At 36.7% G+C, this 18052-nt stretch overlaps 1 protein-coding gene across 55 annotated transcripts in view; it reads left to right on the top strand.

The window, feature by feature from the left end:
- Positions 1 to 18052, top strand: part of PTPRD (protein tyrosine phosphatase receptor type D) — a 2298757-nt gene that overhangs the window by 2163791 nt on the left and 116914 nt on the right. For 30 of the 55 annotated variants that reach the window (XM_017014961.3, XM_047423649.1, XM_047423651.1 and 27 more), the window contains 2 exons: positions 11973 to 12014; positions 12523 to 12620. In XM_017014961.3, coding sequence (XP_016870450.1) covers positions 11973 to 12014; positions 12523 to 12620 — 140 coding nt within the window. The remainder of the gene's footprint in view (positions 1 to 11972; positions 12015 to 12522; positions 12621 to 18052) is intronic. The other 25 variants (NM_002839.4, XM_006716827.5, XM_047423657.1 and 22 more) reach the window with 1 other exon arrangement.

The raw sequence follows: 18052 nt of genomic DNA, 5'->3' as shown, positions 1-18052 counted from the left end.
CTAAATTTCACTGATCACTTCAGGCTTCTTACTAGAGAGAAACATAAAGTGACTGAGGATAACAAAAAATATACTTGTTTCTTAAAATAAAGAACATTAAGTGCTTCAACAGAGGAACACTACTATTCCTACTGAGGGGCCTTCTGCACAATATTGTTTATTCATGCCTAGATCTATTTGACTTTTTCAACTAAAGCATGTTTATACCAAATGAATGGCAAATTATGAATGGCAGAGGGAGCTGAAAATATAAAACCGAGTGACCCTATCTTAATATGTTATGATAATGAACAAAGTGAAAAGCTAATCTAAGAAGTCTTTGGGATTAAAATGTGGTTGCAGTGTTGTCCCACAAATTGTAGACAAGTTTCTTTGTGCCATATGGATGTTCTGATTCACAGTATGATACACTGCAGATATATTACAGTACACATTTTACAGTGAATTATTTTGAACATGGTTTATTATGTTCAGCATATTTTCTCTTTTACATGTAGATGTAACATAGTAACTAGTAACTCTTCAATTGAAAGAAATGTTTAGCATTTTCAGTGTGGCTATACAAGCATCATAATGTCGGTATTTAAAAAAAATTCTAACTCATATGAGGTTAGACTTTAAAAAAAATTATTTCATCATGCACCGGGAACGTGTACATGATGATTGAACAAACTTGTGTCATCTTCCAGGATAGGTCGTAGCCCTCTGGATGCATCTTGTTGAGTCACCTACTCAGTACTTTATTAAGGCAACTTGATATGAATTAAGTTACTGTAGTAAATTTCATTGGGTCAGCGCTTTTTGAAATAGGTGGATACTAACTACTTCAGCCTATAGGCAACTTCTTTTTGTTTTTGGTTGTTTGTTTGATTGATGGGTTTTTTGAGACAGAGTCTCACTCGATTGTCCAGGCTGGAGTGCAGTAGCACAATGACGGCTCACTGCAGCCTCAACCTCCCGGGATCAGGTGATCCCCCTACCTCAGCTTCCCAAGTAGCTGGGACTACTGGGGCACGCCACCACATCCAGACAATTTTTTTTTTTATTTTTGTGGAGGTGGAGTTTGGCCGTGTTGCACAAGCTGGGCTCCAACTCCTGGGCTCCAGCAACTCACCTGCCTCAGCCTCCCAAAGGGCTGGGATTACAGGCATTAGCCACCACTCCTGGCCTACAGGCAACTTCTTAATAATGGACCCAGGAATTTATATTCCTTTCAATTTAGCAAACTCAATGTATAGAGGACCCAAAAGCTGAAGAAATGATCTGCTACATGATTCCTTGCATTTCTTACCTCATCACCCTGTAAAAGAGCAACATGTTGTGGAAATAGAAAAACGGATCAGATTTCTCAGTACCTTGCTGCTAGCTCTCCACTGCCCCTCCTTCCTCTGTTTTTCACATAAATGTCATTTGTGCTGGAACCAACCTTGGTCTTCCACCGGAGGCAGAAACACAGTATAAGGTTGAGCAGAAAGGCAAGGGTACCCCCAAAAGAAGGGAGCCAGTGAGAGTGCTGCTACACCTCACCTCCTCTCGCACCAACAGAAAATGTTTCCGGGAATAAACACAAAGCAAGAATGGGAACTGTGTAGAGAGAATGATTAAGAGGTGCTGGTGACTGCAGGTAAGAGAATAGGAATGTCTTCAACCAGGAGACTTCTGTCTGCAAGTACTTCTCACTTTCAGATGTAATTTTGCAAATATGGCCAAACTCAAGAATTCTATTAGCAATTTAATTTTCCCAATGTATTTGGGAATATTATATCCATTTATAGAGAGAATCTGTTAAATTTTAGGTAAGATACCAGAAAGAAGAATGAATGTTACAATTGTAACATCTCTTGTATCACCAATGACTTTACAAAATTAAAATGGGGACCTGAGTATAAAGGAAGGTGTCATTTAACTAAAGTTAGACTTATCACCTCAAATGAATAAGGGAATAAAGTAGACAAAATGAGATAAGAGAGGAGCTGTAGTAGACAAAATGAGATAAGAGAGGAGCTGTAGTAGAGGAGGAGACTAGAAAAGGAGAAATTGTCCTAAGGTCCTAGCACATCTGTTCACTCAGGAAGCAGTACATTATGCCCTTTAGCTCAGGTAAGCAATTCACTTAAGCTTGATTTGCTGAAATTGTTTATTTGCCATCCAAGCTCTATGTTGTGGCCTGCTGTCTGGAACATTTTTACCATTTTACAAAGGAAATAGACTCCGCTGTTAATATGAAATTCATAGAGATGTGACCATTTGCTTCAGCCTGCATAGATTTTAGCCAGCGGCTGTTAATTACCATAATTACTTGCCAATAGGATGAGAGCAGAATGTGGGGTTGTTAACCCAGTAACCCTTTTGTGGTTGTTCTTCTCCTCTTTTTCACGAAGAATCAAGGGTTTTCTTGGATAATGAAATAAAATAATCCTTCATTAGGTGTTGCATGACAGGTGCTATGACGCTAATTTTTAGGTTTTTAAATTATTTACATTTCACTCTCTGAAATGTGGCTTTTTAATATATCTACTATGAATGTATAATTGCTTATCCCCAAACATTATAACGCTTGAGAATATTTATTAATAATATACATAAGTAGAGAATTAGTAATCCACACCTTCTGTTCAAAAAATGTCTTTCAATGAAATAAGATGCCTGTGATTTATATAACCAGTACCTAGTACAGAATTTGTTCCCAAAGGCAAATTGATTTCTGCTTCTGATGGGTCTGTTATGAATGATAAAATAGCAAACAAACATTACGATTTGAAATTCAGTAGGCCTTTCAGAAGGTAAAGAAAGCACATTGCTTAGTTCAGTGATTCTATAAATTCTACTTTCTCAAAAAAGTCATCTTGTGAATGAAAGATTGATTTACATTCTAAGTTATTTATTCTTTTGGAGAATCGAGATTTAAGAAGTCAGATCTTTTTTCCTTAATTCTGCCCGATATTCCCCATTTCATATAAATATAGCATTCCAACAATCTAAGTACGTCAAAGAACTGTACCCTTAAATGCAGTACCACAAACATAGTTGGATCAGAAAAAGTTAGATTTCCATCCACCGTTGCTCAGCTAAGGCACAAAGAAAAGACAGAGAAACCTGCTTTTTTGTCAGTATAACCATCCTTGTGAGGTTGGAGAGTGTGGAGAGGAACATTGCTTTAGCACATTTTCAAACTTTTAGACAAGAATCAAGTCACTCTCTGACACTGCTGAGAGCCTTCCAAAGAAGTAGCTTGGACTTGAATCTGTACAGAGCACCTTAAGGAGTTGCTGTATCTTCTCATTCTGAAGTCACTGATGGTGCTGGCAGCTAGAGGTACTTCAGGGCTGAAGCCCACTAGTTCGTTAGTGGCAACAAAGTTCTTGGTCTTTTTTAGCATTAAGATGAGTGAAAAAAGAATCACCAACCCAGCCCCTTCTGAAAAACTATTTTATTTTTCTCTTATTGAGCATAATGTAATTGTGACTTAACCGATTGCTGCATCAGAGACAATATGGAATTGTTGAATAAATTTTTTTTCTCCCCCTAAATGGTAGTTTTTCTAGGAATAGGACTAGATTCAGGATAAACAGTCTGATAGGATCCCAGGATGCTGCATAGTGTTAGGACCAATCTATTACTTAAGTGATGTGTTCACATGGTAAGTCTGGACAAATATACGGGAACATTTATCATTTTTTGTGCTTGTACACTTTCATTATTAAAGTATACTTTAAAATGAAAAAAAATATCCTGTCAGTCTGTGAAACACTGTATGTAAACACCTGAACAGGTCGGGGAAGCCCATGCTTTCACAATTGAAAGCAGGCACCTCAGCTTGTAAGTATTTTGCATGATTGATTGTAAGTGTCTGTCTTATTGTGGTTCAGATGGCAGTGTATAGCCAAGTTATATTTGAGACAACATGAGCTACCTAATCATTTAAGAGAATAATGATTTAAACAATAAATCATTATTAGTGTACAAGGTCAGCCAGAATTAGTGTGAAAAAGGCAATTTAAGTAACATCAGTTGTATCACCAATAACTACCAAGTTAAAATGGGGACTTAAGTATATAGGAAGGTATCATTTAGCTAAGATTTGACTTATTAATTCTAACAGATAGTGGAATAAGATGGGCAAAATAAGTAAAAGAGAGAGGTGACGTAGTAGAGGAGTTTACTGGAATTATTAACTGCTGATCAAGTTTTACAAGTCTTTAAGATCTATGGAAGAAGGGAAGAAAATATTCACTTATAAAAGATGCATTTAAAGGAAATGTCCATTAAGCTCCATACATCTCTGTAGACAGCAGTAACTGGGTGCGCACTAGGATGGGTGAATAGATATGTTGCTTGTTAAACAAAGATGAACTGTGTTAGCCCCATTTGCAAGGAAAGTTTTCTCTTTCTTTCTTTTATAAACAATTTCCAAATTACTTTAGTCTCTCCGTCCCAGAACATCTTTTTAATTTCAAAAGCAACATGTTTATTGGGGAAATTTTGGAAAATAGAAAATAAGCTTGTTAACAATCATTGCATATAGATTGTGACCATTTAGGTGTTCATTATGTTACTCTTTAATTTTGTGTACGTTTGAAAATTTTTATAATTATATGGTGGGAAACGGTCCAACAAAAGCACTTTTAGAGAAGAAAAATTACTCTTCATTCCACCACTTTTTTTTCTTTTTTATTTGACATATTTAAAATTAAAATTAAAATATTTTGTGTCATTACTCCAATTAAGTCTCCAGAAATATCTGCCATATAGAGTTTCATATATACCTTTCCAGAATTAATTTGTGTATGTAGTTATTTAAATGATATAATATAGAGTAGGTAGGGATGTCTGTGTGTATGTCATGTATGTATACACACACAATTTGCTGTTGTGACATTTAACTATATAAAAATGGACTTTTTTCAAGTGAGTGTATTATGTCTTCTTTTTAACAGATAATGACAATGATGGTAGTCAGTTCTATAGATATCAAAATGTATTAACTCATTCCCTATTAATGGAGGCTAGGTTATTACTCATGTTTTGCTATTACAGATACTACTGTAATGAGCATTACTGAGCCCATATATTTTGACACCATCATTGCTATTTCTGCATGTCAGACACCTGGAAATATGATAGCAGGGTCCTAGGGTAGGCACATTTACCATTTTGATAGAGAGACCCAATTACAGACTTTTCAAAATACTGTAAAAATCCTTTACTGAAGGTTTGACACCCTCTGGCCCATGGCCTTTAGAATTGGGCAAAATGATGAAAATAAACATAATATTATTAAAAGATGGTGATATATAAGAAAACCAAACAAATTACTAATATGTGTTCATTTTTCTTCTTTTTCCCAGCAAAGAAAATTTAGAGGTTGAGGATCTTAGAGAAATTCACTTTCTTTTCAGTACAAAGAAAGTTGTAAGAGAAGATGCTACTGGTAGCATTGGTGGTGCACCAATCATTACCTTCCCCTCTGCCTGCATATTCAATATTAAAGTGTCTGCTGTCCCTGTTCATACCTCCTCCCTGGCCCAAAAATACCTGCAAACAAAACCAAAACTATAGTGTTTATGCTTGCACCTTTTAGGAAAAGAGATTTAAAACTCGATGATCAGATGTTACAACACAAAGACCTCATTTTCATTCAGTGGATGACCTTAATATGTTTTGCCCTAAAGCATACATGGATGGTAGGTGATTGATGGGCTGTGAAAACAGAAACAAACTCATAAAAAGTTAACGGATCAGAAATAGTGGTATCAGCAGCAGAAATGTCTGCACAGCAACTGAATAAGCTTTAAAAAGCTCTTGAGCTGTCTCTTCTGATCTATTAATACTATTAATTGGATCAATGCTAACAAGATCCATTTTTATATATACTTTCTTCATACATTCATATTTTATTTTATACAGTAAGGAATTTAGGCATATGACCTAGGTTAAGAATACCGGATGTGTCCTTTCTGTTTTATTTTCTGAAATTTCTGATATAAAGAAACAGCTTGTTCAAATTCTGTATTTTGAGAAACTCTCCATTAGAATTGAATTTTACAAAAATTTTTTAAAATGTTTTGAGGCAGGATCTTGCTCTGTTGTCCAGGCTCGAGTGCAGTGGCACAATCATAGCTTACTGTAGCCTCAACATTCCACGCTTAAGTAATCCACCCACCTCAACCTCCCAAGTAGCTGGGACCACAGGCATGTGCCACAATGCCCGGTTCATTTAAAAAAATTTTTGTTGCAGAAACGGGGTCTTCCTCTGTTGCCCAGGCTGGACAGAAACTCCTGGAATGAAGTAAAAATTTTGAATTTTAATTATGCCATTCATTGCTTACCCAGAAAAGCACTGTTGGTGACTCTTTCATTTAATGATGATCCCCAGTCACAAATTAAATCTAATTGTCATTATGGTTGTATCAGGAAGCTTACAAATCAATATTCTCTTTATCTTTAATTTATCATTAGTTTGTGATACAAATAACAAATATAGCAGAGTATTTGTATTTGATTCAGGGAATTCTAAATAGTGCATACATTATGTCAAAAATATGACAAATATTTAATGAATGAATTTTCTCTTTCTGGCTGTTAACTCATAGAAGTCTACTTTTGTTAAGACTGTGGTAATTGATTTGATGAAAAAATTAGCTTCTCTTTGGTCCATAAGCACAAACTGTTCTCCAGCCTTTATCACAATTTATCAGTAAGGAAAATCATGAAGAGACTGTTACTGAGTCATTACAAACACACGTATATAGTGACAGAAAAAAATCATGTAAAAGATGTACCACCGTTATTAATGACTTCAAAAACTCTACTTAGCAGAATAGTTATATAGTGCCTATTGGCATTTAATGCAAGGTTTAAAAATATGAAAATAGAGCAAGTGTTTGATAAATATTTTTCTATGGATAATAAAATCATTTGAAGCATTCAGTAGCCTTACTGACTTAGTAAAACAGAGCAGGACTTTTGAAAAGCAAAAATACCATAAATTAGCTTCTAAGAAATATTCTGCCAAATAGCATTCCAGTTTTTAACATTTTAAATTAATACCTTTAGTTCATGTTTTCTTGGAAACTTAGGATATTTTGGCAAGAAATAACTGGAAAATACAGACGTGTTTTTGCATCCCCTTTTCCTCTTCCCCACCACTGAAACAGATGACCTAGGTTAAGGCCCTGTATTGACACTTTTTCACAAACTGAGGATGGTTTATGATCTCTGTCTTGCTGCATAGAGAGCCCAAACAGTCTTAAAGACCCAGCTTTATGTACATGTCACCACTTGTCCAGGGGTGTTAAATGGTTGGAAAGACAGCATGGCGTCATGTGAAATGTGCTAAATGAGAGTGTACGGGGTATGGGATCAGATTCCTCATGTAGCTACAGTTCTGCTGATAATGATGACTTTGATCGAGTTCTTTAACTCCTCTGGGCTTCATTTTTCTAATTGGTAGAGATAATGGGGGATCAGGTTAGAGAGAAGGGGAGGTAGATGAACCCATAGGGGATGAACCATGCAAGAAGCATACTTCTTTATATCCCCAGCACAAAGCAGTATCTAGTCCATTGCCTTGTGGATACAAGCATGCAGTCTGTCACTCCCAACACTCCTTGATTCTAATTCACATACACACAGATTAAAGAAGGTTTTGTTCTTTTAAAACAAAGGCCATAATCTAGTTAGCCGTATGTGGTCTGCAAAAGAGCTTATCGTTTGACATGGACTGAGTTTCAACAAAATTTTGAGTCAACATTGAAAACTGAGGAAATGCCACACGATACTCTGGATTTTGAGTGGCTGTTGAAAACCTGAACAGTCTGAACCGATTGGCCTTGCATTCCCACTTGGCAGAGCAAGTCCTGGAGCTGAATAATTTCACCCTTTTCAGAAGCCCCCCAATGTGTACACTAGCCCTAAAGATGAGTGACATTGAGACTGAGCGTTAGTTGCCATTTATGTCACGCTTATGGCTGTTTTTCACATAGTAAAGAATTACTGTTCTTTCTGGAGTCTCTGTTCAAAGTAGAGACACAAAAGCCAGCCCTGGAAACCTGCTCATTGTGAGGAAATGGGAATGAGCGTATTTTCTGTGTGTGAAAATGTTGACTATATGATACTTAGCCCTCTTCAGTCATTTATCTTACCAGCCTAGCCCATTCCATCTGTGGAGACTTTGCCCCCCACTTCATTTAGAAGATCGCAAATGCCGTTCTCGGAATAGTACAGTAGAAAGATGCCCAAGCTGCATGTTGAGATGTTGTTATTTACTGTCTGGGCTTATGTAGAGAAGTCATCTAACTTTTCTGGATTTGAGTCCTCTTGTATAAAGTGAAAGTGCTGGACTAAGTCATCTCTAAGGTGCCTCTCAGGTTAAAATGCCATGATTTTAAAGTTTACTTCTTATAAGGAAGTCACCGTGACATCAGTCTCACCAATATGTACCCTATTAAAGGGAGCCATCTTGTTTTTTCCTCCAACCTAAGGCAGATTTCAGTGACCGCATCTGTCATTTTTCATGTTGACTCTATATTGTGGAGATCATAGCTTCAAAATAAAAAGTCTTAACAGATTTGATGCGTGCCTTTAAAATGCATTTATGGGTCGGGCGCAGCGGCCCACGCCTGTAATCCCAGCACTTTGGGAGCCCGAGGCAGGCGGATCATGAGGTCAGGAGTTTGAGACCAGCCTGACCAACATGGTGAAACCCCATCTCTACTAAAAATATAAAAATTAGCCGGGTGTGGTGGCGCGTCCCTGTAATCCCGCTGCTCAGGAGGCTGAGGCAGGGGAACCACTTGAACCCGGGAGGTAGAGCTTACAGTGAGCCGAGATTGCACCACTGCACTCCAGCCTGGGCAACAGAGTGAGACTACATCTCAAAAAAAAAAAAAATAATACATTTCTATTGTACATTTGTAGCTTCTAACTGATGAGGTCATGACACTGGCAAGCCCTCCCTGTTTGTTAGCTGTGCTTCAAGTTCTTTGCTGCCAATAATAGCTGAGTACTAAAGCTTGCTAATGGGGTGTTAGAGAGGATTCAAGAATATCACCAAGAGAAAGCTCATCTCATTCTCATAAATCCTGATATGATTTCTAAATGGGAAAAAAAGGAATAAATGGAGTTATAGGCCCCCCATCATGAATCCTATAGGACTAAGAGCCAGTGCTGAGGAACTTTAAAAATATCAATATATAGCTCCCACATCCACAGACCTGAATTAATTGGTCTGGTGTACAGCCTGCAAAAAAAAAAAAAAAAAAAAAAAAAAAAAAATTAAAGCACATCAAGTAATTTAAATGTGTAAAATCTGATGTAGTAAAGACTTTGGTTTATAGACTGAGCAGTGGTCAGGTTGCCAGACAAAACATTGAAAAGGTACCACAGTGAGGTCAAATTCATAGTTTTCTTAGTGTCTACCTTTTCATTCAAAATCTAACATATTTGTTTATATCATATAACATTTTTTTTCAATATTGGGCAGCGGAGATGTTTCTGCAGAATTGTGTAACAATATTTTGAAGTAGATCCTTGGTCATTGTTTTCTGATATGAGCTAAACAGTTTCAACTTAGAGGAGTTTTACTCTTGATGATTATTTTTATGCCGACATTCGGTCTTTTCTGATATATGATATAACATCATAATAGACTGTGTATACATTTTGGCTAATGAAAGAAAATAGCAACAAACTTAAATAGTTCAAAAAATAAACAATTCAACTGCATACTAGTTTTCCATTTTGTAAAAAGTAAGTACTCTCTCCCTTCAAAGAAAAGGTACGATAACTTTTAGAACCCTTACATATGCACCAATAGACCCTTCTCTGTTCAGAAGTTCTGTCTATATGTGGGAAGAATGAAAGTTATGAAGAAGAGAATGGCTCTTGAATTTATCTAGTTCTATACTCTTATTTTAACAGTTAAAGAAATCAAGGCGCTTCACAAAAGGTGATTTGTCCCTATTAGTAGATGCCAAAACCAGAAGTAGAACCCATGTCCAGTATTCTAAGCCAGGGTTCTTTCTCCTGTACCATTGGATTCACACAGATTCTCCTCCCTTTTCTGTGAAACATCCATCTGCCATTTTTACTTGTCTTAGAAATGGAGTGCAATATGGTATCCAATGATAAGTTTTATGTAGCGATTCTTTAATGCTGTGATATCTTGCATGTGATACATATATGTATATATATTCTGATGTGGAATATAATGACTCAATGTAGGTCTGCTTGAATTTTTCTTTAATAAACTTCCAATATAATACTTCCAGACCATGTGCCAGTGCATGCCACAAGTAAATATGTTGATCACATCTTTGGTTATTATTATGGTCTTCTACTGCTGTTATACTAATACTTTTCCCGTCTCCAACTGGCTTTACTTTTTGCAGCTTTGAGCAGTAATTCAGTCCCCTACGCCTCCCTGATTGGCTCTGTGTCCTCCCTCTCTAGCCAAACCACCACTCAGTCCATATATGATAATAACTCTCTCCCACGATCCGCTCGAAAAGGTCTAAACATCTTTGTCTCTATTATTTTCTCTGTGAAAGCACTGTAATGATGTCCACATCAGTCCATTTCCATTTCCAGATAAGCCTAAAGTCACCTATGCCTTTGCATTTCCATTCTTTTCGTTGGGGGTGCCTCATCTGGATAAGATCACGTAATTATCAGATCACTGTCACCCTCACACTTCCTCCATAGAATGTAAATTATTTCAGTTCTATCATTAATACAGAAAAGTTTCAGAAAGGGTTCCAAAATTTTGTTCCAAAGGCATTATTATATCACCAACAAAGAGTTTCTACTTGCAAGCAATTCAGTTTTATTGGCTCTCCACTAAAATTTTAGCTGACTGGAAGCAGACCTTCATAGCCATAAAAACTAAACCACCACAATTCACAACACTTGCTAAAGTGGTTGTCTTCAAAAAGCAGGGTAGCTTTTTACTTAACTTACCAGAACCATTAATAATTTGGCATTTGAGATAAAGGAACTTACTGGGTGACTTTTAACAATGGTATAATTCCTAAAATGCTCTTAAAGTAGTCACATGTCATGTTGACTCAATGGCCATCATTCTGTAGCCTTCCTCCAAAGAGCCACAGTGACAGCAGAATGTCAACACATGGCTTCCAGTTTGAGCTCCTCCCTCATTCTTTTCCTGCTTCAGTGGCTTCCCTGGGGACATGCTAGTTCAGGTTTTTGTAGCCAGCTGGAATTTATATCTGTAAGATAAGAGTCAGCAATGCTCTTTCATGATACTTCTGTAAAATTAATAGGAAAGAAATAAAAGACAAATCATATGAAAAGTGAGAAAACATCAGAAAGACACAGGAGTCACCAAAATTAATAGTGGATTATTTTTCATGGAATCTATGAAATTACTATATCTTCCGCTGGCTGAATGAACTAGAATGTGTCACCCCATCTCTGCTTTCCTTCTTTCTTCACCCTCTTTCCCTCCTGTCTTTTCACCATTTGCTCACTTCCCTGAATCCATTTCTCATTAGTGGACAAAGATGTTTACACCTGAAGTAGATTGTAGGTTTGCTGGGGGTTGAATAATGGGGACCTGGGGCAAAATATCACAGAGTTGTTAGTGTGGCCATTTATAAATGTCCAGGAGAAGGCTGCAACCCCAACCTCTACAATCTGCTACTAGTGGAAACATTTTTGAAGCTCAGTTTGGTGTCTGATTGTGCCGTCAGTGATTATCGTCAGTGAGTCGTGGTGCATGTCATTCTTTGTGTCTGTGTTTGCATGTGAATGTCAGTCACCTACAGGTTTGTGAAATATTAGCGATCTTAATGTAGTAGTCACATTGTACTAGCCACAATGTATAGTGAATTCTGTAAAAACTTGCAGCATTTTAATTAGTCCTTTTAAAAAATATATCAGGCTTTCCATTTCATTTTTTTTTGAAGAATTTGTTCTATTTTATTTTATTTACACCATCATTTCCTTTGCAGGTTCAGATGATTCCGGTTACCCTGGTAACCTTCATTCTTCAAGTTAGTTTTCCTTGATTATGCATAAGTCATTTTATGTTTACTATCAAGCTACTACTCTTTCCCTTTTAGGCCTTTCTCAGTGTCTGTTTTCTTATTTCACTTTACACCATTTAATTCCACACAATTTCCATTTCACACAGTGCAGGAGAAGGAGTTTGAAATGGCATAAAAGTCATTACTCAAAGCAGAAGTTGACATCAAGCCTGACTGTCAGTTTTTTCCACTAGCTAACCTTATTGATTCATAGCACAATAACGCTTTCTTTTACACTAGGAGTGTTAGTTTGGAGATTATGCTTGGTGACTTTTCATTTGGCTACAAAATTCATCTTCCCAGAGCATGTCCTGCTTTGAGTAACCAAACTATTTGCCTGCTTCCTCACCTAAAACATCTTTACTACTCACATATTTTCAGGCCATTTCTAACTATAGTATTCTCTATATTTTGGAATAGTTAGCATCATTTTCATTTGTTTTCAAATGTGTTTCTTCTTTGCTTTTTTCAATAGGTATGGCTAGCCATCCTCCAATACCCATCTTGGAACTTGCAGACCACATTGAAAGATTGAAAGCAAATGACAACTTGAAGTTTTCCCAGGAATATGAGGTAATTCACTGTGTTTATTCTTTACAGTAATTTCAAGAGTTACTCTTCTCTTTTTTTGACCATATTCTTGAAAATTAACTTCATCAGTGCTTTTCCCTTTAAATATGACTCAAATATGATATAAAAATGTATAATGAACCGTCAACTTAAAAGTGTCTGCACAAGCAATATAGTAATTACAGTTTGAAAAAGTTAATTTTATGTTTGTTCAATATTACTTGCTGAGATTATGAATTTTCTGTTTTTTATTTTTATTTTATTTTTAATTGGCAATAATTGTATATATTTACATATTATGCATTATTATTAATTATAGTCACCATTCTGTGCAATAGATCGCTAAAGCTTATTCCTGCCATCTAGCTAAAACTGATCAACATCTCCCCTTTTGCCAGCCCTCCATTGGTAATCACCACTCTATTATCTACTGCTATGAGTTTGACTTCTTTGGATTTCACATATAAATGAGATCATGCAGTATTTGTCTTCTGATTTTTCAGTTCCTAGAATATACTAAATTGATAAGCTTTCCAGCATACCAAATAGGTGCCAAATACACTGATTTGTGATAAGAATCCTCATCTAGAAAGAAAGATTACGAAGATTAAGTACATTTCTCAAGACTCTTGGTTTTATAAGCCATGAAAACTCTGTAATTATTGAGTATGTGTATATTATCTTATCCTTCAATCTAAATTAATGCTAGAGCTAATATTAAGATAGAAATGTATTTTCAGAGAGTTGCTTGTTTTTGAAGGAATGGTGCGCTGAATGCTATCTTAAAATTCCAGAATCCTTAAAGATTCTTTGTGAATTCTTGATGGAGGTAAATTAAAAGCCTGTGTGTATGCACGTGCGTGCGTGTGTGTGTGTGTGTGTGTGTGTGTGTGTATTTGGATATTGTGGTATATATCAATCAAAAAGTTATAAAACTGGGTATTTCTGGTATTCTCCAGCAACAAGGACCCTTAATGAAGCCAATTAATGCATTGTTGATAACTGGACGATAATTGTTTTTTCTAGACCAGTTTTAACATAAGATTAAAATGTACAACTAAAATCTTGTAGATATACCAAATAATAAAAGGTTATTGGGTACCTGGGCAGCCCAAATTTCACCATCGGGGTTTCTATTGATTTACTTACTGGGAGTCGTTAACACATCCTGTTACCTCTTGGTATCTGTTGTATCAGCCTTAATTGGGGCAGTTGCACTGGACCTACCAGCGCTAACATTCTACCCTGTCACATTCTGTAGTAACCTCTAAGAGGACCCCCAACCTCAAGTGGCTTAGAGGGGTCACAAAAATAAGAAGAAGCTCCATGTAAGAGAACATAGAGCAGTGAGGCCTGTGGCATGGCCTTCCCAAAATCTTCAAATATTCAAATGTTCATTATTTTAAGTTACTGTGCTGGAAAACCAAAACATATCTGTAGTCTCATTCACCTCCACCCTCAAGAGCCAGACCACGTTTCATTCAGTTTGCATACTGCAGCATCTTTGTCACATATTTGATAGGATGCAAAGATTTTGTTTGTTTCCTTGCCTCTTGGTGAAGTTATATCTTCCTTTATTCTGCTCCAAGCATTCAGGAGAACATTTTCAATGCTAGGAAAATTCACACCGGATTGCACGTTGTCTTCTTTTCTCAAATGGTCGCAGCTTATTTCTTTCCTGCTCTTCCTCTTGATCAGAATAGCTCCTTTAAAATTATGCAGTATCCTTTAAAACACTTTCTATAGTTTCTAATTTAGGGCTTAGGGCTCCATAGTGAGTTTAGAGAAAATAAGGCAAATCATAAATAGCACCTGGGGCACCATAAAAAACTCTTAGTTATGTCAATTTTTATGAACCAGAAATCTTTCATCACTCCAACCTACTTTTTATTGTTATATGATTCTTATTATTTTGCCATGTGATATTTTTTCATAGCCCTGCTTTAATTATTTATTTTTGATTATAAGTTATGTAATGGGTTACAAATTACGGAAATATGATAGCTCGACCTGTTAGTAAGCCGTTAATTCACTCTCCACCAATATAACTTTAAACCATGGGCAATAATATAGTCATGCACCACTTGATGACAGGGATACCTTTGGAGAAATGTGTTCTTGGGTGATTTTGTCACTGTGTAAACATCGTGGAGTATAGCAAACCTAGATAGTATAGTCTATTATACACTTAAGCTATATGGTATAGCCCATTGCTTCTAGGCTACAATCCTTTACAGCAAGTTACTATACCCAACTATTTGTGTGTTTAAACAAAGAAAAGGTAAGGTAAAAAATACTGTAAAAAAGATTTTTAGGCTGGGCGCAGTGGCTCACTTGTGTAATCCCAGCATTTTGGAGGCCAAAGCAGGTGGATCACCTGAGTTCAGGAGTTCGGGATCAGCCTGGTCAACATGGTGAAACCCCGTCTCTACTAAAAATACAAAATTAGCCAGGCGTGGTGGCGTGTGCCTGTAATCCCAGCCACTTGGGAGGCTGAGGCAGGAAAATCGCTTGAACCTGGGAGGCAGAGGTTGCAGTGAGCCAAGGGTCGCACCATTGCACTCCAGCCTGGGTGACAAGAGTGAAACAAACAAACAAACAAACAAGCAAACAAACAAATGGTGCCCCTATGTAGGACACTTAGCATGAATGGAGCTTGCAAGACTTTTAGTTGCTCTGGGTGTCAGTGAGAGTAGTGAGTGAATGTGGAGGCCTAGGACGTTACTGTATACTACTGTAGACTTTATAAACACTATAAACTTAAGCTATACCAAATTTATTTTAAAAGTTTATTTCAATAGTAGATTAACCTTAGCTTACTGTAACTACTTTATAAAATTTTTAAACTTTTTGACTCTCTTTTGATATCACTTAGCTTAAAACACAAGCACACTGTACAGCTATACAAAAACATTTTTTCTTTATATCCTTATTTTATAAGCGTTTTTCTATTTAAATTATATTAACTTTTTAGAATTTTTGATTAAAAACTAAGTTGCAAAGACATGCATTAATCTAGGCCTACACAGAGTCAGAATCATCAATATCACTGTCTTCTGCCTTCACGTTTTGTCCACTGGAATGTCTTCAGGGTGACAGCCTGGAGCTGTCATCTCCTATGATGATAATGCCTTCTTCTGGATAACTCTTGAAGGACCTACCTAAGGCTGTTTTAAAGTTCTTTTTATTTTAATAAAAGGAGTGCATTTTAAAATAACAATAAAATGTATACTGTAGTAAACACATAAACTAGTAACATATTCACTTATTAAATATTATGTACTGTACCTAATTGTATGTGCCTGACTTTTATGTGACTGGTAGCAGAATAAGTTTAATTACACCAACATCTCTGCAACCACAGGAGTAATGCACTGTGCTAGGACGTTACGACAGCTACCACATCCCTAGGTGATGGGAATTTCTTCAGATCTGTTATAGTTTTATGGATCAGTCTCTTATTTGTGGTTTGTTGTGGACTGAAATGTCATTATGCAGCACATGGCTATAAAACCATCACTCAAGCAATCTCAGTTGCATCTATTGAATGCAATAACTGGCCTCTTTTAAATGTGGAATTTTCAAGAAATGCTACATGTAAAGATACTTTAATGATCCTCATTTAGCCATTAGATCAGAAGTGCTTCTTGAAAATAGTTATGAACTGCATGCTGGCAATGCTGCTATGCACAGCTTCCCCAGTAGGCTTAGCTGTGGACCTGATAGCCCACATAGACTCTTCACTGATGTTCATGATGATGATCCATGATTAAAGCTCCCTGGGCATGAATTGACTCTACTGTGCCTTAACCGGCATGAAGGAGATGTTTAAGTGTTGTATTCAACTGTGATAATAGGATTAAGACCTCAACATAAAAATTTAGGCTCAGAGCAACATTTTGTGGGGAAAAATTGTTTATTATCTTCTACATAAATTTGAATAGATTTTTACTGGCTTTCAGCAAAGAAAATGGAGGAAAGAAAACTCACATTGCTTTCAAACACCTGATTATTTTGGCATAATCACTGTGAGTAAATGTTTACTCAGAACTTGTAAGATGCACGAAGCTAATTTTTTTTTACTCTGATTCTAAGACTAAAACAGGTTAAAGGCGTGAAAGCTGTTTGCACTGATCCTGAGGTCAGAATACGAGGAAGTAGGTTAAATTGTAGCACAGTATTATTAGATCCTATGAGACACTTCCTGTACTGTAAAGGCCGTTGAACTCCAACAGTGAATTTAGTGAAAGCTGGAAGAATGGACTTGATAAATTAGTGTAACCCCATCTCTGCAGGTCTTTATAAACACTTTAGATGTCCATTTTCTGAGATGAAACTGAAAAGTCCTGCTGGAATTTAAGTAGTCTCAATTTGAGAATGGCATCTGGAATGCAGGGAAGAAAGTCCTCCTTAAAGTTGGTATGGCTGTTAAAGTCCATATATTAGGCTGGTGAATCTTTAAATCAGAGTAATTTGTGTAGACCTTGCCAAACAAAATCTTAGGCTGGCGCCTACAGATCATTTGGTTGCCTATTTAAAATTGAAATTCCAAGGAAGAAGTCAAATCCCTGAATAGACCAATAACACGTTTTGAAATTGAGGCAGTAATTAATAGCGTACCAACCAAAAAAAGCCCAGGACCAGACAGATTCACAGCCAAATTCTACCAGAGGTGCAAAGAGAAGCTGATACCATTCCTTCTGAAACTATTACAAACAATAGAAAAAGAGGGACTCCTCCCTAACTCATTTTATGAGGCCAGCATCATCCTGATACCAAAACCTGGCAGAGACACAATAAAATTGAAATTCCTGGTCCCAGCCCCAGAAATGCTAGTTTAATAGGTCAGCTGTGGTATCCACAAATCTGCATTTTAAAAGAGCTCTTCAGGTGACTTTGATGCAGGTGCTCCAAAGACTTCAATTTGAGGAATGTCATTGGTTTAGGGTAATGTATTACAGAACATGACCCCCAGTCTTCATTTCACCATTTTCTGAGATAGCATATAGACTAGTATATTTAAAATTTAATCAGTAGGCATCATCACAGTCATATATATACAAATCTTATTTAGACTAGATAGATCGTAAGCAACTGCAGCCCCTAGAAATTCTCAAGGAAATACAGAAGAGCATTTTTGATGTATTATAGGGCCAAGGCTAACAGTAAAGGTACACATTAAGAACTATCATCTAAAACTGAAGGGCTGTGGCAATTTCCTGATATCTTCTCTGGAGCTTTCATCTTTGTGCTTTCTCTGTGGTGGCTTTATTCTTCCCCTTATACAAGCCAGCGTCTTCTTTTTTTCTCACCCACGCACAGAAAACATGGTCTGTAATCATATTTTCATTTACGTACAGGCCCCATAAAGAGACTAAGTTGTACTTGCCAGTCATGTTTTAAATGCCAGAGAGCAAACTCTGAACTCTATCTAA

Source organism: Homo sapiens, chromosome 9 (genome assembly GCF_000001405.40).
Source record: "Homo sapiens chromosome 9, GRCh38.p14 Primary Assembly".
Classification (NCBI taxonomy): domain Eukaryota; kingdom Metazoa; phylum Chordata; class Mammalia; order Primates; family Hominidae; genus Homo; species Homo sapiens.
The sequence above is the reverse complement of the archived record's forward strand: the minus strand, read 5'-3'. Positions and strand labels throughout refer to the sequence as shown.